The sequence below is a fragment of the Homo sapiens genome, chromosome 2, assembly GCF_000001405.40.
Source record: "Homo sapiens chromosome 2, GRCh38.p14 Primary Assembly".
NCBI lineage: Eukaryota > Metazoa > Chordata > Mammalia > Primates > Hominidae > Homo > Homo sapiens.
Window position 1 is genome coordinate 27642335 of NC_000002.12, and position 21465 is coordinate 27663799.

General features: G+C 41.0%; 2 protein-coding genes across 15 annotated transcripts in view, besides 1 other annotated feature; one reads left to right on the forward strand and one right to left on the reverse strand.

Annotated features, from left to right (window-relative positions):
- Positions 1-9177, forward strand: part of GPN1 (GPN-loop GTPase 1) — a 23265-nt gene extending 14088 nt beyond the window's left edge. For all 5 annotated transcript variants that reach the window (NR_026735.2, NM_001145047.2, NM_001145048.2 and 2 more), the window contains 3 exons: positions 95-185; positions 5502-5609; positions 7781-9177. Coding sequence is in view for 4 of the 5 variants with exons in the window: in NM_001145047.2 (NP_001138519.1) it covers positions 95-185; positions 5502-5609; positions 7781-7866 (285 nt within the window). In the remaining variant the exon portion in view is untranslated. The remainder of the gene's footprint in view (positions 1-94; positions 186-5501; positions 5610-7780) is intronic.
- SUPT7L (SPT7 like, STAGA complex subunit gamma) lies at positions 234-21280 on the reverse strand. Of its 10 annotated transcripts, none has more exons than XR_939750.4 (8): positions 20995-21280; positions 19845-19947; positions 18650-19054; positions 15011-15335; positions 13031-13268; positions 11100-11413; positions 4532-4659; positions 234-558 (listed from the first exon to the last, which is right to left on the reverse strand). XR_939750.4 is itself a non-coding variant. In NM_014860.3 (6 exons), the coding sequence occupies exons 2-6, from the start codon at positions 19856-19858 to the stop codon at positions 11151-11153; spliced, it is 1245 nt and encodes a 414-aa protein (NP_055675.1). In that variant the 5' UTR covers positions 19859-19947; positions 20995-21280; the 3' UTR covers positions 8475-11150. The 10 variants fall into 10 exon arrangements, 6 of the variants coding, with proteins under 6 accessions (NP_055675.1, NP_001269660.1, NP_001269659.1 ...); XR_007085617.1 differs by having other exon boundaries at positions 20990-21280; XR_007085611.1 differs by lacking the exon at positions 4532-4659 and having other exon boundaries at positions 20990-21280.
- Positions 10273-11472: an enhancer, noted in NCBI's record as "CDK7 strongly-dependent group 2 enhancer chr2:27875474-27876673 (GRCh37/hg19 assembly coordinates)". NCBI's record gives its function as "activates an origin of replication core promoter dependent on BRD2, BRD4, P300/CBP, MED14 and CDK7 cofactors, with strong dependence on CDK7, by STARR-seq in HCT116 cells {active_cell/tissue: HCT116}" and the evidence as "EXISTENCE:reporter gene assay evidence [ECO:0000049][PMID:35650434]".
- Positions 21281-21465: the final 185 nt, after the last annotated feature.

Below are 21465 nucleotides of genomic sequence, written 5' to 3' on the forward strand. Positions count from 1 at the left end.
AGTATTTGTATAATTCTTCATCTCCACTGAGAAGTCTGGCATCTAATTTGGGACTCCTTTTTGAATATGATGACATTTTTCTCTGTATATACAGGCCAACGCAGAGAGCCAACAGCAGAGAGAACAACTGGAACGCCTTCGAAAAGATATGGGTTCTGTAGCCTTGGATGCAGGGACTGCCAAAGGTATTGGAGGGTTTCTTGGTGTTAGGAACTAAAAAAAGGTTACACTTCTTTCTTTTATTTATTTATTTATTTTTGAGACGGAGTTTCACTCTTGTTGCCCAGGCTGGAGTCTCGGCTCACCACAACCTCCACCTCCCAGGTTCAAGCAGTTCTCCTGCCTCAGCCTTCCTGAGTAGCTGGGATTACAGGCATGTGCCACCACACCCGGCTAATTTTGTATTTTTAGTAGAGATGGGGTTTTTTCCATGTTGGTCAGGCTGGTCTCGAACTCCTGACCTCAGATGATCCACCCACCTGGGCCTCCCAAAATGCTGGGATTACAGGCATGAGCCACTGTGCCTGGCCGGTTACACTTATTTCTATCAGCAGGATTCTGTTTATATATGAGAGAGAGAAAGAGAAAAAGATAAAGGAAATGTGGTTTTATATATATATATATACACACACACACACACACACACACACACACACACACATACATATGCATACATATATATTAAAAAATAAAGGATTTGGAAAGGCAAATTTGAAATTATATACAGCTCTACCACTTTGGGTTCCTCTTTCAGGAAGTTTTTGCTTTACTTTGGCAATATACTTGATGTGTGCTGTGGTGGTTTTTTTTGTTTGTTTCTAACACTTTTAACCCTCCTCAATTTTTTTTATAATTAAAAAAAATTTTTTTTTTTTTACAGTTTGACCTTAATTTCAGATTTACAGAAGTTACATGAATAATACAAATAATTGCCATAATTATTCTATCAGATTCCCAAAATGTTAACATTCTACCATGTTTACTTTATTCTTTATCTATATATGACTTTATATGTTATATAAATATATATTTTTCCTGAATCATTTGAGTAAGTTACAGATATAATACTCTTTTACCTTGAATAATTCAGTGTCTTTTTCCTAAAAACAAGGATATAATTTTATATAACCTCAGTGCAGTTATCAGAAATCAGGAAATTAACATTGACATAATACTATAATATTAGCTAACATATAGATCTTATTCAGATGTAGCCATTTCCCCATGATAGCAGGAGAAAATCTGGATGTGCATTGTATTTAATTCTCACATGCCTTATACTCCTTTAGAATCTGGAACAGTGCCTTAGTCTGACTTTGTATTTCATGACTGACATTTTTTAAGCATGTAGGATAGTTATTTTATAGAGCATCCTTCAGTTTAGGTTTGTCTCATGTTTCCTCATGATTTGATTCAGGTGACTAATTTTTGAATTGTGTTTTTTCAAGGAATCACATTGGGAGGCACGTGATGTTGATTTGTCCCATTACTGGTGATGTTAACTTTGAGTATTTTTATAAAGTGGTGTATGCTACGTTTTTCATAAAGAATTACTATTTTTAGGCCGGGCGCAGTGGCTCACGCCTGTAATCCCAGCATTTTGGGAGGCCGAGGCGGGTGGATCACTTGAGGTCAGGAATTCGAGACCAGCCTGGCCAACATGGTGAAACCCCATCTCTCCTAAAAATACAAAAAATTAGCTGGGCGTGGTCGTGCATGTCTGTAATTCCAGCTACTCGCTGAGGCTGGAGAGTCTCTTGAACCCGGGAGGCAGAAGTTGCAGTGAGCAAAGATCGCGCCACTGCACTCCAGCCTGGGTGACAGAGTGAGACTCCCTCCATCTTAAAAACAACAACAACAAAAATTACTATTTTTAAATATGGCTGTTTTTCTGTTTGTAATAAGAATTTTGTGGGGTGATGCTTTGAGACTATAAATATCCTTTTAGTTTTCTAATGTTCACCCATTAGTTTTAATATCCATTGATATAATAGGAATATCAATTTTTCTGTGATTATATGTTGCAAATGTTTAATATTTTCTCCCTATCAGTTATCCTTTGACTTTGTTCACGGTGTTATTTTGCCATGCAAAAGTTCTTATTTTGTTTTGATGTAGTCAAATTGATCTATCTTTTATTGCATCTGGGATTTTAAGTCACAGTTAGGAAGCCTCTATATATACCTATGTTAAAGAGGAATTCACCTATTTTTTTTTATAGATTTGTCTGGTTTTATTTTCTAAATTGAGATCCCCGATTAATTTAGAGTTTATTCCTGGCTATAGTATAAGGTATATAAGTCGGTGTTATTTTTTTCATAAATAGTTGTATCTGTATGATTTATTTAAAAGTCTGCCTTTGCCTTAGTGAGTTTTTTTTTTGGTAGTGTTTTTTTTTTTTTTTTTTTTACAGATGAGGTCTGAGGCTGGTCTGGACCTCCTGGGCTCAAGCGATTTTTCCATCTCAGCCTGCCAACTAGTTTGGATAGGTGTATGCCACTGCACCTGGCTTGTAACAGCGATTTGAGATGCTACGTGTATAATGTTCCAGACCAGCCTCAGACCTCATCTCTAAATGTAGTAAAGTTCCATGCATACTTGAGTATACTTCTATATTATTTCACTGGACTGTTTATTTATTTATTTTTTTTGAGATAGTTTCTCACTCTGTCACCCAGGCTGGAGTGCAGTGGCGCAATCATAGCTCCCTGCAGCCTCGAACTACTGGGCTCAAGCATTCCCCCTGTCTCAGCCTCCAGAGTAGCTAGATCTACAGGTGTGTGCCACCACGTCTGGCTAGTTTTAAGGAAATTTTTAATAGAGACGAGGTCTCACCATGTTGCCCAGGCTGGTCTTGAACTCTTGGCCTCAGGCAGTCCTCCTGTCTTGGCCTCCCAAGGTGTTGGGATCATAGGCATAAGCCACCATCCCCAGCCCATTTTTTTTTTCTTTTAACTTGCTTTGGTGAGCAAGGACTCCTTACTTTTATGCCTGTACCATGTTGTTTTAATTATGTAATTATGTTTCAATATCTGCTAGATCAGATTCTCCTCCTAATTTTTATTTGGCTGTCCTTACATGTTCTTCCATATGAACTGAGTATCAACTTTATCTAGTTCCTTAAAAAAGCTTTTTGGTATTTTAGTTGGGATTACATTATATTCATAATTAATTTAGGGAGAAGTGACATCTCTATGATGTTCAGTCTTGCTACCCAAGACCACAGAGTGTCTTTGTATTTGTCAGGTCTACTTGTGTCTTTCAGGAGTGTTTCCAGTTTTCCATATATAGGTTTTTCTTATTTCTTTTTAAAATGTTTTTGTTATTTTAGCCAACCTTTTTGACCAAGAGTTTTTGCCTGTTTCTTTTTAATTTTTTTTTTTTAAAACAAATCATCTTTATGTATTTGTTTTGAGACAGGGTCTTGCTCTGTCACCCCAACTGGAGTGCAGTGGTGTGATCTTGGCTCACTGCAGCCTCTGCCTCCTGGGTTCAAGCTATTCTCCTGCCTCAGCCTCCCAAGTAGCTGGAACTAGAGGTGCCTGCCACCATGCCGGGCTAAATTTTGTATTTTTAGTGGAGATGAGGTTTTGCCGTGTTGCCCAGGCTGGTCTCGAACTCCTGGGCTCAAGTGATCTGCCCACCTCAGCCACCCAAAGTACTGGGATTACAGGTGTGAACCACTGTACCCAGCTTGAAATTTATGTATGTATGTATTTATTTTTGAGGCAGAGTCTTGCTCTGTCACCTAGGCTGGAGTGCAATGGCGCGATCTCGGCTCACTGCAACCTCCGCCTCCCGGGTTCAAGCGATTGTTGTGCCTCAGCCTCCTGTGTAGCTGGGACTACAGGCACATGCCACCACGCCCAGCTAATTTTTGCATTTTTAGTAGAGACAGGGTTTTGCCATGTTGGCCAGGCTGGTCTTGAACTCCTGACCTCAGGTGATCTGCCCATTTCAGCCTCCCAAAGTGCTGGGATTACAGGCATGAGCCACCATGCCCAGCCCCAGCTTGAAATTTATTCTAAGTATTTAACCTTCTTCATTACTGTTGAAAATGGGATTTTCTGGACCGTTACATCTTATAACTGGTTTATGTTTGTATGTATGAAGGCTTTTGATTTCTGTATATTCATCTTTTATCCTGCTACTTTACTGAATTAAAAATTTTTTTTTAGTTTTATCATTGGCTCTGCAGGGGTTTTTAGGTTAGTTTTCATTTACAGCCCACCTTCCACCCCCACCCCTGTATATTGAGGGACTGCCCTCAAGATTCAGATGCAAGTCTATTGCAGCTTAGTGGAATCCTGCAACCAAATTGACTGTACTTAAAAGAAAAGCTCCATTTATTTATTTATTGTAATAAATTGTACATTTATTTTTTCTTCTCATCAGCAACACTAGCATTTTTTTTTTCTGGGACATCTTTCTTAAAGGAGTGATGCTTCTGTTCATGAAAGTTATTGCTCTATATCTAGTAGAGAACAGCAAAGCTAGTAACGGACTGGGTTTACCAGTTAAGTGTACTCACTTGTGCCATCCTGTTGTACAGCTCAGCAAAATACATTTCTATGTGCCACAGTCCTTTAGAATCACTTCTGAATATGTGAAGTCAATGTTAAAACTACTGCTGCAAAGGGTCTGCTGTAGTCAGCTAACCTGTTGAAGGTTGGGAGAGTTTAAGTAAATCATTTGAGGAAAGTCACAAGTATAGTTGCATAATTGTTAGGCACAGAATGAAGCATTTACTGTCAGCATGTCCTGTCATCCTCCTTTTTCAGGCCCACAGGCCCCTTGAGATTTGTGCCAGTTGATGTTGCTGTCTCTGGCCACCCTTATTCCCTAGCTGAGCTCTCGCAAGCCTCATAGGCTCCTGAAGAGAGAGTGACTATGTCCTCCCATGGCAGTAGTGACTTGATTAGACTTCTCTCTGATTACTGGAGCTCAGCCCTCACTAGTTTTTCTGAATAGGGAATTTTACTTCTATTAGTGTATTTGATTTTCTATTTTTCCCCTCCCTCCTCTTCTTAAATAATACCCTGGCTCCTTGATAACATTTCACCCTGTATTTTCTGCAGACCTTCTCTGAACTTACATTTCCACCAGGAGGCTTCCTTAGCACTCCACACTTTCACTGTGACTCACCAGCACACTGGATCTGCTCAAATGTTGTTAGCTTTCATAGGAAAAACCATCACCCCTTCCAAGCTGTGAGCCAGTAAAAAAGAATGATGCTACTAGTAAGACAAGCTTCTTGAAAATTATTTCCCTCAGCTTAAAAAAATGGGACTCCTAGGGCTATTTGCCTTATGAAAGCACTTTGTGAACTAAGCTATTATAGAAATGTTAAGTGGTATTAACAATACATTTAGAAGAGGTAAGATCCTGCGTTTATATGTATCATGAGCACTTTCATCCTGCCAGTTTATGATCATAGTTACTTAGTGATTCAAGATCACCTTTTTGAGGAGGCATATCACTGATAGGTGTTTTCACTGTAGACAGCTTATCTCCTGTGCTGCACCCTTCTGATTTGATCCTGACTCGAGGAACCTTGGATGAAGAGGATGAGGAAGCAGACAGCGATACTGATGACATTGACCACAGAGGTGAGAGGTGGCTGAGGTGGCCCGTGGCAACAGAGCATCTGCTTATCCTCACATTGTTTGCCCAGGAGTTTCTTGCTTTAAGCGTGTAGCCAGTAATAGTGGATAAAGGATACAGCACCAGAAAAGAGTTTCCTATATTGAGAGTTCCTGTCCTGCCTACTGGATGGTTAATACTGAGCTGATTACAGGCCTTTCGTTGGTCTTGTGTCTTCTTATCTTTAGGTCCTAACTTGGTTTGAGGGATCCAGGACTTTTGTTTGTTGTTATTAGTATTTTGTTTTAAGAATATGTAAGGGCTGGGTGTGGTGGCTCATGCCTGTAATCCCACTGCTTTGGGAGGCCAAGTCAGGAGGATTGCTTGAGGCCAGGAGTTCTGGACAAGCCTGGGCAACATAGTTAGTCCCACTCTCTACAAAAAAGAAAAAAATAGCTGGGCATGGTTACTCACACCTGTAGTTCAAGCTGTTTGGGAGGCTGAGGTGGGTGGGTTGCTTGAGCCCAGAAGTTTGAGGCTATTATGAGCTATGACTGTGCCACAGAACTCCAGGCTGGGTGACAGAGTAAGACCATCTCAAAAACAAAAAACACAAATAATACATAAGGTTATATGGACTAAAACAGTAAGGATAGAATGGCTCTGGAAACCCAAATTCCACTTGGCATAGTTTTATGGACTGTGCGCAGAATCTAATTGTTACTATTATTTTTTTGAGACAGAGTTTTGCTTCATTGCCCAGGCTGGAGTGCAGTGGCACGATCTCAGCTGACTGCAACCGCTGCCTCCCGGGTTCAAGTGATTCTCCCACTTCAGCCTCCAGAGTAGCTGGGACCACAGGCACATGCCATCACAGCTGGTTAATTTTTTATATTTTTAGTAGAGACGGGGTTTCGCCATGTTGGCCAGGCTGGTCTCGAACTCCTGGCCTCAAGTGATCCGCCCATCTCGGCCTCCCAAAGTGCTGGGATTACAGGCATGAGCCACCATGCCCTGCCAGAATCTGATTCTTGAAACAACCATAGGCCGGGCACGGTGGCTCACGTCTGTAATCCCAGCACTTTGAGAGCCAAGGTGGGCGGATCACCTGAGGCCAGGAGTTCAAGACCAGCCTGACCAACATGGTGAAACCCCATCTCTACTACAAGTACAAAAAATTAGCTGGGCTTGGTGGCAGGCACCTGTAATCCCAGCTACTTGGGAGGCTGAGGCAGGAGGACTGCTTGAACCTGGGAGGCGGAGGCTGCAGTGAACTGAGAGCTCACCATTGCACTCAGGCCTCGGTAACAAGAGTGAAACTTGATCTCAAAAAACAAACAAACAAACAAACAAAAAAACACGAAAACCACCATACGATTTAGGTCTTAGCTATGGCCAAGAGCAAATCTCCTTATTCTTTAGGCTGGGTTTTACATGTAAATTGCCTTATTTAATCAGATTTTTTAAGATGTAGTTTACCAACAGTGAAACTCACTTTTTGAGTATATAGTTTGATGAGCTTTAATAAATATATACTTTCTTGTAACCACAATCACAGTTGAAATGTAGAGCACTTCCCTCACCCCCCAAAACTTCCTCATGCCCCTTTTTTTTCAGTCCCCATCCTGAACACCTAGTGCCTGGCAACCACTGACTGATTTCTGTTCCTTTGATCTTGCCTTTTCCAGAATGCCATAGAAATAGAATCACAGTATTTAGCCTTTTGCATTTGACTTTTTTGACTCAGTAGTGTAGTCTCTCCATGTTGTTGCATGTATCAGTATGTTCTTTTTTATTGCTGAGTGATATTCCATTATTGTGGATGTTCCACAGTTTGTTTATCCATTCCCCAGTGGACTGATATTTGGGTAGATTTTAGCTATTATGAGTAAAGCAACTATAAACGTTTCCAAATAGATCTTTGTGTAGACGTATGTTTTCATTTCTCTTGGTTAAAAATACCTACAAGTGGGACCTTATTTTAGCTACTATGAGGGAGGTATTCTTTCTACTTATAAAGAAACTACATTTTGGGCAGCATGATAGAGCATGCTTCTAGGAGACATTTCCTTTTTGAGGGAAGTGAGTACTTAAGTTTCTTAGAAGTAATGTACTGTTTTCTGATGGATGGGTGACGGGCTCTAATCAGTTTGTCTAATGAAAGAGTTGAAAAAGAATTGCCCTTTTTTCCTTGCAGTTACAGAGGAAAGCCATGAAGAGCCAGCATTCCAGAATTTTATGCAAGAATCGATGGCACAATACTGGAAGAGAAACAATAAATAGGAGACTTTAGCACACTTCACTTGTTTCTAGAAGTCCAGAATTTTGGACCTCCACGTGAAAGAACTGTTCTTACCTCTGAACTGGGGGCTCCCATAAGGGATAATTTTCCTCAGAGTAGCAAAGTTTCTCTTATTAGAGAAATCTTGTGACTCAGATGAAGTCAGGGATAGAAGACCCTTGGACCTGGCAGGTTAATGCTGATTATTCCTTGGCCTTTCCCTTGTATTTATGCAAGGAAGGATATACTGAGCTGATACTCTTCCAAGCCTACAACTTCAAGTTTTATCATTTGAACTCAAGTACTTTTGCTGCTGAGGAATGGAATCAAAAGAACGTAGTCTCCTGGTGACCACCTCAGATCTCTATTATTAGGCTAGATGTATAGCCTCTACTCCCCCAGCTTCTTGCTCTTGACCCTGCACTGTAAGTTGCCCTTCTATTAGCAGCCAAGGAAAAGGGAAACATGAGCTTATCCAGAACGGTGGCAGAGTCTCCTTGGCAATCAACCAACGTTGCTATGAAATATGCCTCACACTGTATAGCTCATTATAGGACGTCAGGTTTGTTGAAAAAAGTGGGCAAGACATGATTAATGAATCAGAATCCTGTTTCATTGGTGACTTGGATAAAGACTTTTTAATTTTAACTTTGTTCTAAGACTGCTTGTCATGATTTCAAATTAGAAAATTATATAATTGCAAACAGCTTCACTTCTCCTGTTCAACAGAGGCTTAAGGCCAGATGTCCAAACTTGTCTCAATAAGGAGGTGATATTTTACTAAAGTTTCCCACGTGCACATACTGACTAAATACAGAGCTAGGCCCAGTTTGTATTGTACTCTGAACTTAATGCAAAGTCTCCTTGGTGATTTTCGCAAAGTCCGTGGATTTGGGTCAGAGGCACATTTCATACATAACAGCCCTTATAAACGTTTGCCCTGCCTCCACATTTTACAGTATCTTAAAACAGTACATTTCTTTCAAAGAATTTTATCTCTATGAGTCAGTACTCCAACTTAGTGGTTCTCACATTGTGGACCAGGAGCATCAGCATCATCTGGGGAATTGTTCAACTTACCTCTTATAACCTATGAACTCAGAAACCCTGGGGGTGGGCTGAGCAGTCTGTTTTAGAAAGCCCTCCATGTGATTCTGATGCATAGTAGCCTATGACATAATTCCAGACCAGGTGAATCTCAAGATACTAATCCTCACATCATTTGCCTTCTCATATTTCCCTCGTCTTGACCATCTGGTGCCTGTTATGCAGTTTAACATTCTGCAGCAATAAAAGTGTTTTATTATAAAGTATTAATTTTAATGTTCTATACTTAGTGGGAACCACTGGTCTCAAAATTTGAAGCTATTCTTTAAGAGGAGAACATTCGCAAAACTCAAGCATACTTGGTTTTTCTCTGTAGTACTTTTGAATGCTTTATCTTCCTTACAGAATAACTTGTCTTCCTTATGCTTCAAGCTCCAAAAGGGTAAGGAAGAAGTCTTAATCATTTTTGTATTCCTTGCACAGGACCTAGCAAATAATTGGTACTCAATGTTTGCTGGATGAATGAACTAAATTCCCATACGGCCACTTTATGGAAACTAACTGCCTAATCGCCACTTTCATTATAAACAAAGGAAAATGAAGATAAGACTGCAACAGAGGCCAGGTGCAGTGGCTCACGCCTGTAATCCCAGCACTTTGGGAGCCCGAGGCGGGCAGATCACTTGAGGTCAGGAGTTTTGAGACCAGCCTGGCCAACACGGTGAAACCTCATCTCTACTAAAAATGCAAAAATTAGCTGGGTGTGGTGGCATGTGCGTGTAATCCCAGCTACTCAGGTGGCTGAGGCAGGAGAATCGCTTGAACCTGGGAGGCAGAGGTTGCAGTGAGTCGAAATTGCACCATTGCACTCCAGCCTGGGTGACAGAGCAAGACTCCATCTCAAAAATAAATAAATAAATAAATAAATTAAAAAAAAGACTGTGACAGAAAGGGTTTAGAGAAATGTGCTAAAGAGTTACAATTGGCAAATTTAAAATTATATGTTAAACTATAACCTCATTTGTATCATATTCATTTATTCTCAATACCTGGGACATTTAAGGCATTCAATAATGAATTAAAGCTGTGCCTTATTTTGGTCTGCATTAAAGGAGTGGTCTAAATTTTACAAGATATATTTTGCATCAGAAAATCAAACTTCAGCAGTTTAACATGCTGGCATCCATCACCAAGGCATGAAGCAACACATTTGCTAATGATTCCTAATCACTACAGTGCTACATCATTTACTTAATAAATACTGATTCAGTACTTATATATACAGATAGTCTGATGGATGAGTAACCACAGTGATGTTGTTCAGGACATGATGTAAAGTTGAAAGGTGCATATTGCTATGTTTTAAAGGCTGCCTTTACAGTAGAAGCAGCAAAGTGTGCTTAATGGACTGCTGTCCTCTGATGACCAAGCAAATGCAACAAATGAAATATGCACAAGGCTGTCCTTGGACAGTACTTGTTTGCTTTGCTCACAAAGGAGAAAAGGAAAGAAACAATTGAAAATATGTATATGGTGAAAGTATGTGAGTCCGAGCAGAAATAACAAAGGCAAAAGGATGAGGAGAGATGGAGTAAGTCTAGAGAAGAAAATAAATGGATGAGATAGAGAGCTGTCTAAGCAAAAAAGGTGTCAGACCTCTGATCTTATAAATAAGACACTTCAAAAGTAGCAAAAACAGTTTTAAGAAGGTGACTAATAGATAAGGTGTGTTGTGTTTAGCTATTTCCTGTTAGGTATTAGTAATGGGTTCCCAATGACCTGAGCCAAAAATGAATCAAGTTAAATGAAAACTGACATCTGATATGAGCATATATTATTAGTCTATTCAAGCACAGTTTTGAAGTTAGCAAACATCTAAATCCTCACATCTCTACAAGGTAGGTCAAAGTATGATTCTTCTCAGTTGTACAAGATAAATGGCTGTATAACATGTCTAGTCATAGTTAAGACAACAATTGGGGACAGTGCTTTGGTCTGATTGCCATGCCAGCATCATATTTTATCTGTGAAGGGTGGCTTGGTTGTGGAAAACTATAAAAACTGGATGCAAAAGTAAAATGCAACCTTGTTTGGTGACGTCCAGTTCCTCTGGAATTAGGAAAAACCACTTGTGTTTAAGAACAGGAGTCAAATCAATTTTTAAGGAAACAGATTCTAATACAAAAACCTTTTCTGTTGGGTCTAGTAGGTCTGGACAAAACATCTCCCTCTTTTCCTTTTATATTTTCCTCATCCTCTTCTTGCAGCGCTGGTTGAAAACAGGGGAGGACCCCATGAGGCTGTCAGTGGAGTGGGAACCATAGCTGCTATCTGAGTCATCAGGGCTCTGAGGAATCCCAGCTTCACTCATGCCTGACATAGGCTCCTCGAAGACATCACTGCCCAGCACACCATGCCCAGAGACATTGCCTTCTTCACTTTCTTGAGGCTCCATTTTCACATGGGCCAGATTCCAAAGAGGAGAAGCATTTACCTCTGCACCTAGAAACAGAGGAAAGATGGACATACACCAAGTGTATATGTGTAGCCAAGTGTAGAACAAAGAGTAAATATATCACTCAGAACCAACTAATATGCTTTGAGCTCAGTTTTCACTCTGATTCTGTACTTGGCTGGAGAATATGGTTGTTACTCTCTGCTTCAAAAAGTTAACCATCCCAAAAAATTACCAGCTCTGATTATCTTCTTTTCCATTTCTTCTACCTTTCTTTCCTCTACCTCACCCACCCCCATTTCCCCTAAACCAGGGAAGTGAAACTAGGCAGGTGGAAAGATCCCCTGTCTCACAGCCCAAAGACATGCACAACCACAGGACTTGTTCAGTTGTTTAGTTTGCCTGTCCTTCCTTCCTTCTTTTATGGGGCCATCTTGTTTTCCTGCCTTTTGTTTGGGTCTCTGGTCATCTCTTGCATTATGAAAAGTTAATGGTCACTACATAATGCTAACAGCAGTTCTCTACCTGGTCTTCTTTGAAGAGACATGGTCCCGAAGTCCGCAACAATTTCTCTTTGGCCCTCGCATCTCTCTATGTATTCTAGCAATGCTGTTCTCTTATGGTTATTCTTCCATAGTGAAAGGCTCTCTGCCCAACACTTTTAAAAGTATGACCTAATTCCATTTAGACCACATTTGAGGATTTGCTATTTGAGTCATTTGTGCATTGATGACAATTTATACTTGTAAACAACTGAGTGTCCAGACTAATTTGCAACCTAACTGACACGTAACCAGTCAGTTGTCCTGGCTCCTAAGGTAATCACAGAGTCTGGAAAAAGAAGCCAGCTACCTCTAACTGGGAAGCCCTATTTCTTTTTTTTTGAGACGGAGTCTTGCTCTGTTGCCCAGGCTGGAGTGCAGTGGTGCAATCTCGGCTCACTGCAAGCTCCGCCTCCTGGGTTCATGCCATTCTCCTGCCTCAGCCTCCTGAGTAGCTGGGACTACGGGTGCCCACCACCACGCCCAGCATATTTTTTGTATTTTTAGTAGAGACAGGATTTCACTGTGTTAGCCAGGATGTTCTCGATCTCCTGACCTCGTGATTCGCCCGCCTCAGCCTCCCAAAGTGCTGAGATTACAGGCGTGAGCCACTGCGCCCAGCCGGAAGCCCTATTTCAATGTCTTTCATCTTCAGTTTGTTAGAATACTCTAGCAGGGAAGCCAAACTCTGAGAACATCCTTGAGCAATTAACACTCCCCCATCTATCTGGCAGCTGTCTTATTCAATGAAGTACAAGCATCAGGAAGGACCAATACAGAATACTAAAAATAAAATACTAAAGGAGGAAGGGGATATCTTCCCAACCAGCTGGATCAGCTGAATCAGCCTTGGTAATCAACGTGACAACACATTGCATCTACATCTTAACTAGGGATTATTTTAAAGAATGCCTGTAAAGCTGTGCTAATCCTCTCTTCACTAATTAGAAAGAGAAGAATGCTGGGATCTCTAGATAGGTGAAACTGTATTCGTTTTAGGACTTTCCATTCTGCCCACTGCTGCTTTTGTTCTTCTACCTCTTGAGCTTGATTCCAAAAAGCAAAAAGTACTGAAATTGGCAGATCTCCCAGAATCAAAGTGAGTAAGTTTATTTGTCTTACTTGAAGCCTGTGGTGAAGCTTCAACCTCCAGGTTAGATGGGAAGCGTTCGCTCTGAGCCCCAAGCACTCCCATAGGCAGTGACTGGTCTCCAGAAGCAAGGTCAGCCTCCAGCTCCTCACTGACAGGAAAAGTGATGTCGCTCACAGGTTCCTCCTTGATCTTCACAGGTTTAGCGTCCTCTGTGGCCTTCTCAGGATTGACAATCCTTTCATATTCTTCAGAGAGTTGCTTACTAATCTGTTGGCAAGCAAGAGTCAATTTTCCAAGGAAATGTTAAAAGCAAGTTGGATAGTCAGCTTGTGACGTCCCATGGAAAAGCCAACAGAACATGAATAACAGAATTTTAAAACATTCACTGCCAATGGGAGGGATTTGTTTAAGGTGCTGAGTTTGCATTTATGAGTGATAGAGATATGTAAAGAAAATTGGTTTGGCAGAGAATGTGTATGTCATTAATTAAAAGTTACATAAAGGTAAAAAAATGTGTTAGAACTGGGACAAAAGATTACATTTTTTTGGCTATAAAAATTAACAGTAGGCTGGGCACGGTCATTCACACCTGTCATCCCAGTACTTTGGGAGGCCAAGGTGGGAGGACAACTTGAGCCTCGGAGTCTGAGACCAGCTTGGGCAGTATCTAGTGAGACCCCATCTCTACCAAAAAAAAAAAAAAGCTGGGCATGGTGGTTCACATCTGTGGTCTCAGCTACTTGGAAGGCTGAGGTGGAAGGATCGCTTGTAGTGAGCTGTGATTGTGCCACTGCACTCCAGCCCAGGCAACCCTGTCTAAAAAAAGGGAAAAAAAAGTTGACATATGTATCCTAGGTGAATAATCAATGGTGTGGGAAATCTGGATCACTTAGCAAAGACTTTTTTCTTGGGTGTTAAAAATTCCTAATCATATTTTAGACCTGCAGAAACTGAAACAGTGAACAAATGACTTAAGAGCACAAGGGCTGAAGAGATTAGATATTTCTGGTTCCAAGCAAAATCATCACCCCCCACCAACCCATCCTCCAGGCAATATCATTTTACTCTGTTTTTTTCATAGCACTTAACATTATCCAAAATTGTATTTTTTTGTGTATGTGCTTAGAGACAGGGTCTTGCTATGTTGCCCAGGCTGGTCTTAAACTTCTGGCCTCAAACAATCCTCCCACCTCAGCCTCCCAAGCAGCTATATTAGATATATATATTACAATTCCAGTCAAACCATTATATTAGCTGCTTGAGAGGCTGAGGCAGGAGGATTGTCAGTAGGTCTGTGTTCTCTTTTTTTTTTTTTCAGACAGGGTCTTGCTCTGTCACCCAGGTTGGAGTGCAATGGCACAATCATGGCTCACAGCAGCCTTAACTTCCTGGTCTCAAGTGACCTTCCCACCTCACACTCCCAAGTAGCTGAGACCACAGGCATGAGCTACCATGTCCAGCTAATTTTTATTTTTTAATTTTCTGTAGAGATGGGGTCTCACTATATTGTCCAGGCTGGTCTTGAACTCCTGGCCTCAAGCAATCCTCCCACCTCAGCTTCCCAAGTAGCTGGGATTACAGGCATGTGCCATCATGCCCAGCTCCTGAAATTGTTTTGATTGTTATTTATTGACTTGTGTTTGTCTCCCTTCAAAAACAATGTAAACTCAGGTAACTTAGTAACTGCTGAATCCCACAATGCTCGACTCTCAACAGGCACTCAATAAATACTTGTTGAATAAAATCAGACTAACTGCATTCTCTCAGATTCCATATACTTGTGGATAGTTTCTTCCAGAGGAAGTATCAGTGAATGTGGCCATTCACTGACTAAAGGAGACCCATGGTATTTGGCCAGGAACATCGCTAGGGCCATCATAAAAGTATGTTAAGTTCACTCTGTTCCAAGACTCTGTGCTCTGCACTCTAGACCAAGTGTTGTGGGATCCTGCTGAACACTCCGAGATTGCACAGACATCTGTGCCCACTTTTCAACAGGGTCGCCTCACCTGTAGCATGTAACTGTGATAGTCCTTGATGCGGTGCTGCCAGAACTTCTGGAGGGAGAGCACACTGCCAATACCCACTTCATGGAATACCTGCTCCATCACATCAGGAAAAGGAGTCTGTCCCAGCCGGGCCTCCCGGTCCACAGCAAAACGCAGCAACTTGGTAAACTTAAGGCAATACTCATGTGCCACATCAGTTAGGGTCTCCAGGACACTCTCATTAGCACAGTCAAAGCCCGCGTGGGCCAGGATTGTGGCCACTGCCTGGTAGAGGAGCTGCCGACAGGAGTGCCAGCTGAGTTCAGTCACAGGTTCCCCTTTCCCACTGAAAGTGGAGATACGGTGGTGTTATTAATGTTCTTGCAAAGGGGTGACCCCTCCTGTCTTCCCCAGGAGTTTTACAATTCCAGTCAAGCCACTGGCCTAGCTTTCCAGGGAAATTCCATCCAAGTTACATAGCTCAGTTTCATCCTGCTGCTATCTGGGCATGTCTTAGCAACCCATGGTCATATCTTTGAGCTCCTCCAAAGACATAGTTTGAATAGGCAATACATGTCTATAATACACAATCCAAAAGGATATCTAGTGAAAAGAAAGTTTCCTTCTAGCAACTGTTCAATTTTGATCACTTTTAGGATTAAGTTTAACAGTATAGCCCAGACACTGCTCAATGATGCTCTAATTATTTTACCATAACCTAGTTTTCATACATGCTGGGCAATATATTAATACAAACTTTTAGAAATTCACAGTTCCAATAAAGAGATTCTTCACAGTTCCCAGGAGTTTAAGATTCTTAGATTCTTATAAAGTTACAAGGGACCATTTCAAAACAGGGAAGTCAACTCAATTTTATAAAAGCAATTTAAAACATATATAGCTTACAAAGCATTTTCATCCTATCCTGTGTTGTGCAATGGGTAGGGTCTGTATTATTATTATTTCTATTTGCCAGGAGAGGAAACAGGTTTAGAAGGGCTGACTTGCCAAAATTTGTTTACATATAATTAGTAAGTGGTAAAGCTTCTGACTCCAGAAACCGTATCCTGCATAATACACCATTTTGCCCCTAATCACTACTGCAGAAATCTTAATTTTCCAAGAAAAAAATTAAGAAAGCTATTTGATCTAAAAATAACTTAAGAAGCTTTTAATAATTTACCTGTCTCTTGAAATTTCCTACTGGCTTCTGCCTACCCCTGACAAAGGAATTTATTTTACCAATAAAAATAAAATAGAGCACAGAAAATCATTTTTCCTTGGTTCGTACTTGGCATGTGTCATCACGCACTGTACAAAAGTGCCTGAGTGGTTATCCACCCACTAAACTCTGACCTGTTCAATAGCAACTATTGCAGTTTACATAATAGTTTGACAATAAGATAACTAATTGCCAAGTAACTTTTCATTTACTATCTTCATCATTTCCATGGCCAGTGTCTCTGGGCCAAAAGCTAAAGGCCTCATAAGTACCTAATAAACAGAGACAACTAAACCAATATCACTTTCCTAGAATAATATCTGGACCTCTTTCAAAGGAAAGTAATTTTTTGGTGCCCCCATAACTGATGCAAATTATTTTTGTTATACAGTTTCCTAAATATGTATAAAATAAAACCAGGTACAAACTTTTGATGGTCATGGCTCTTACTATATAAATTTGATACAAAACTAAAAATGAATAAACAGCATCAATTTAATATGATAGATAACATTATATTGTTGAAATTAAATTGCCCTCAATATGTGAATACAGTATTGATCACCACAGAGCAAGTTTTTTGAGTTGGGCGTGTCTATGCTAGCATATGCTGTGCATGTAATAACACAGTTATGCCTCCCCTTTTCATTATTCCAGTGACTTCAGAACCTTTGATTACAATGGACCTTGATATAATCTGGCCTTCACCTGGCCCAACTGCAATGCAACCCCTGTGTATTTAGTCTATTTCTGTACTTTTCTCATTAGTTTGGGAACCACTAAAATAGTATTACCAGCAACAGGTAGATGTAATAAATAACATATAATATCACTTCTGTAGTATTCTTGCCGAACATATTTAATCTGAATCTAATCTTGAGGAAATAATCAGCAAATCCAGTAATTGGGACATTCTACAAGCGACCTGAACTCATAAAAGACTCTAAAGAGGCATAACAACCAGGTACAATGCATGAATCTTTGTTAGATCCTGGATTCGAGGGAAAAGACATTTACAAAAGATATTTTGTAAATATACTTACAAAAGATAATTGGAAGAATGTGAATATGAACTTATTAAATGGTACTTAATGTTCATTTACTTTGGTAATGGTATTATGATTATGCAGGAAAATTTCCTTATTCTTAGGATATGCATGCTGAGGAATTTAGGGGTGAAATATGGTGATGTCTGCAACTTACTTTAAAATGGGGGAAAAAATGTGTGCATATACAAGTATGCATATATGTATGTTTGTATATGTGTGTATATATGTGTATACACACACATATGTGAGAAAGTAAATGTGGCAAAATGTTAAACATTAGTGAGTCATGGTGAAGGTATTTGGATGTTTGTTGACTATTACACATTTCTGTAGGTTTGGCAAATTTCAAAATGAAAATAAAAAAGTAATTGGCATTAAATACAACTTGCACACTGACATCTAGTAGCAGCTCTAGGTTATAAGGCAGTCACGTTCAGAGGATGTGGAGCAGAGCTTCTCAAACTTAAATGCACATACAAATCTCCTGGAGATCTTGTTATAATGCAGATTCTGATTCAGCAGGACTGGGTGAGGCCTGAGATTCTGCATATCTAAAAAACTGCCAGGTGATGTTGATGCTGCAGATCTTGGACCAGATATTGAGTAGCAGGGATCAATAACATTTTTATATTATTATTTCTTTTTTTTTTTTTCCAGACAGGGTCTCACTCAGTCACCCAGGCTGGAGTGCAGTGGAGTGATCTGCAATCTCTGCCTCCCCTGGGTTCAAGTGATTCTCGTGCCTCAGCCTCCCGAGTAGCTGGGACTACAGATGTGCGCCACTACACCTGACTAATTTTTGTATTTTTAGTACAGATGGGGTTTCGCCATGTTGGCCAGGTTGATTTTGAACTCCTGGCCTCAAGTGATCCACCCACCGTGGCTTCCCAAAGTCTTGGGGTTACAGGCATGAACCACTGTGCTCAGCTTATATTATTATTTCTTGAACTATGTTATCAAAATGAAAACACACAATTTAAAGATTCTTGTGTAGACTTGCGGATTCCTAAAAATACCAGAATAAGTCCATGAATCCCAATTTGAAGACAACGAGCTAAACCCATAATTTTTTTTTATATTAAATAGAAAGACTAGATCCTAAGAACTATGAGGCCATGGCCTTTTTTACATACCAGTGTATTACCCTGCTCCTAGTAAAGTGCTTGGCACATAGTAAGCACTCAAAAAATTAAAAAATACAGACCCTGAATTCTGAAGACTGGCATTCAAAACTTAGATATCCCACTAATTACCTGGAGAAACCTTGGCCAAGTCAATTACTCTTATCCTCAGTTTCCTCGCATGAAAATGGAAATGCTATTATAGGCTTAACAGGGTTGTTGGGAAGATGACTTGAGAAAAGTAAGATACAGCAAAGCCTTGCCTTACCGATAAAAGTCACTCTCTGGGTCACTGTGCCGGATCTGGAATGGTGCATTGGGATTCTTACAATCTAAAGGCAGGAGGTCATCAGGGAGAGGAGGTGACCCAGGGCACGAGGGAAGAGGTTCACTCTCTTCAGTTTTTACACCTTCTGTCTGCTGCTGATTCTGGGCCTGAGCTGTGGCAATAAGGTTGCGAAGACGTCGGTTGTGCTGAATCAACTGAATCGTATGGATGGTGAGACTACATGGCTCTGAGGGGATGTCCAGCATAGTGGGGGGCTTCGGCTTGTTGGCTGAGGGTTGGTGCAGGGGTGGGTCATGGACTTCCACCAGACGGAACTCCCGTGGGAGCAAATCGAAGGAACTTCTGTTGGTCTGGCTTGATGATATTGGTATCTCTCCCCAGTATCTCAACATTTTGGAATAAGAAGAGAAGAGGTCTCAGGATAAATGTAGACAATAACCTAAAAGTAATGTGTTTAAATCCTGGCAACTTTAGATTATAGGCTTCTGTAGTGAAAAATACGAGGTCTAGCCAGTTATTTATGTAAAAAGTAGGCTATTTGTGACCACTTAGAAAAATGTCAGTGTCAGCAAAACTGTAGGACCAAAGGTGTTCTCCCTAAATAAATTAAGAGAAATGTAACTGTTAGATGCTGGTTATTGTCATACTATGACAATTCCTACTACACTGAACCACAGGGTAGAATTTGGGTCATTAGTGGACCAATAGCTACAACAGCATCTGGAGCTCTAGTATCCCTATTTCCCATCTCACTCACTAACTCATTACCAGAACTACCATCACGCTCAATCCTGAACAATAAGCAAGGCATGATAAGGTATCTTGATACATCTGTGCTGGATCAATAGGAGAAAAACTAGTAGGGTTAAAGATAATAAGAAGTGGTTCTTACTCTGTGTGTCTTAGGCATGATCCTGGTGGAAAAATTTATGAACCATTAATCTAAATGGCATTATGCTTTCAACTTTTGACATATAGAACGTGAGAGATTTCTGCTGCCTTCTAACTGGTATCCCTTCCTCCAATCTCTCTTTGTATGTCATCTATTCTCTACACTGCTGCTAGACTTACTCTTTTTAAAACTTAAATCAAATGGCTTCCCATTGCCTATTGGAAAAAGTCAGAATTCCTTGGCTTACCATTCAACAAAATTCACAATCTGGTTTCAACTCACCTTTGCAGATTCATTGTCCATATGTCTCTTCAAGTTCAACAAACATTTATCAAATGCCAGGCATTCTGTGTCGGTCAAAGACTGATAATGTGAGATCCTTGCCCTGAAGTGAGGAAGAGAAACAGAAGCAGAATATTTCAATATGAAACATGGTAAGTACTGTTCTAGAGGTATATGGACCTGGGGTACTGGAAGCACAAAGGAGGAGCTTCCTGGGTGAAATGACTACCTTTGTTCTAACAACATTATACTACTCAGTTTCTTGAGAATGCTGTACATTTCCACAATTGACACTTTCAGCTGTGAACTCTGCCAGAAATGCTCTGCCAACCTTGCACATCCCTGGCAGACTCATATTCATTTTTAAGTACAGCATAAGTCCCCACCGTCCGTCACTTCACCAGTGCATCTCCCTTTCTCTATTCTCACAGTGCTTTGCAAGTCTATGTCACAGCAGTTATCCTTGGATTTTAATTAGTACTTATCGCAATAGATTTTTTCTGCCCGTCTATTTCTTATGGCTGTGGTCTTGTTACAGGGCCAGGCACACAGAAATATCTGGCATTTGTTGAATGTTTACTATATGCCAGACTTCACCTTTTTTGTTTGTTTCTTTTTTGAGACAGGGTTTCACTCTGTAGCCCAGGCTGGAGTGCAGTGGTGCAGTCATGGTTCACTGCAGCCTCAACCTCCTGGGACCAAGCAATCCTCCCACCTCAGCCTCTGGAGTAGCTGGGACTACAGGCGCGCACCATCAAACCTGGATTTTTTCTTTTTTTTTTTTTTTTTTGGCGAGACAGGGTCTCGCCATGTTGCCCAGCCTCCTCTGGAACTCCTGGGCTCAAGCAATCCTCCCGCCTCAGCCTCCCAAAATGTTGGGATTACAGGCATGAGCCACCGGTCTGGCTGGCCTTTATTGTTTGATTCAATTCTTCCAACAACCCTATGAGGCTAATAATCTTATCCCCATTTTTCAGAGTGAGGGCTGAGGCCTAGTGTCTTGCCCAATGTCACAAATGGCGAGGTCAAAAATCGACAGTCTCCAGAGTCTGCTCTCTTAACCACTTAACTATTCTGCCTTAATAATTTCAGAAAAAAAATAAATGAATGAACGAAATAACAAAAAAGTCGCCCTCTTCCCTTACTTTACCGAAAGGAGCACGAAGAACAGGCACGGAGCCCAAGGAATGCCCAAGTCCCTCCAGGGGTTTCCTCGGTCACGGTCCGCCGGCGCAGGCGCCAATCACAGGGTCCTGAGGTCGCCTGACGTTCAGGGCAGCCGGAAGACGGGGAGGTCTGGACCTGAACCGAGACAAGGAGGTACCACACTATTCACTGCTGCGTCGCAGAGCGGGCTGGGCGGCTGTCTGGACCTCGAGAGGCCTGAGGCAAGGATCGCGTCAGACCCCGAAAGCTGGTTTGTTGATTAGTGATCTAAGACCGCCGGAAGCGCTTCTTCTCAATCAAGCTATGCAACAGGAAGTCATTACGATCCCGTTGTAACCTCTAAATATGTCCCCGTTCTGCACAGCATCCCGATAACCGTTTTGTTTTTCTCATATTATGACCTTCTCATGTTAGCACCACTTCGCAACGCTCCAGGTCGTGAAGGAGCAACTTC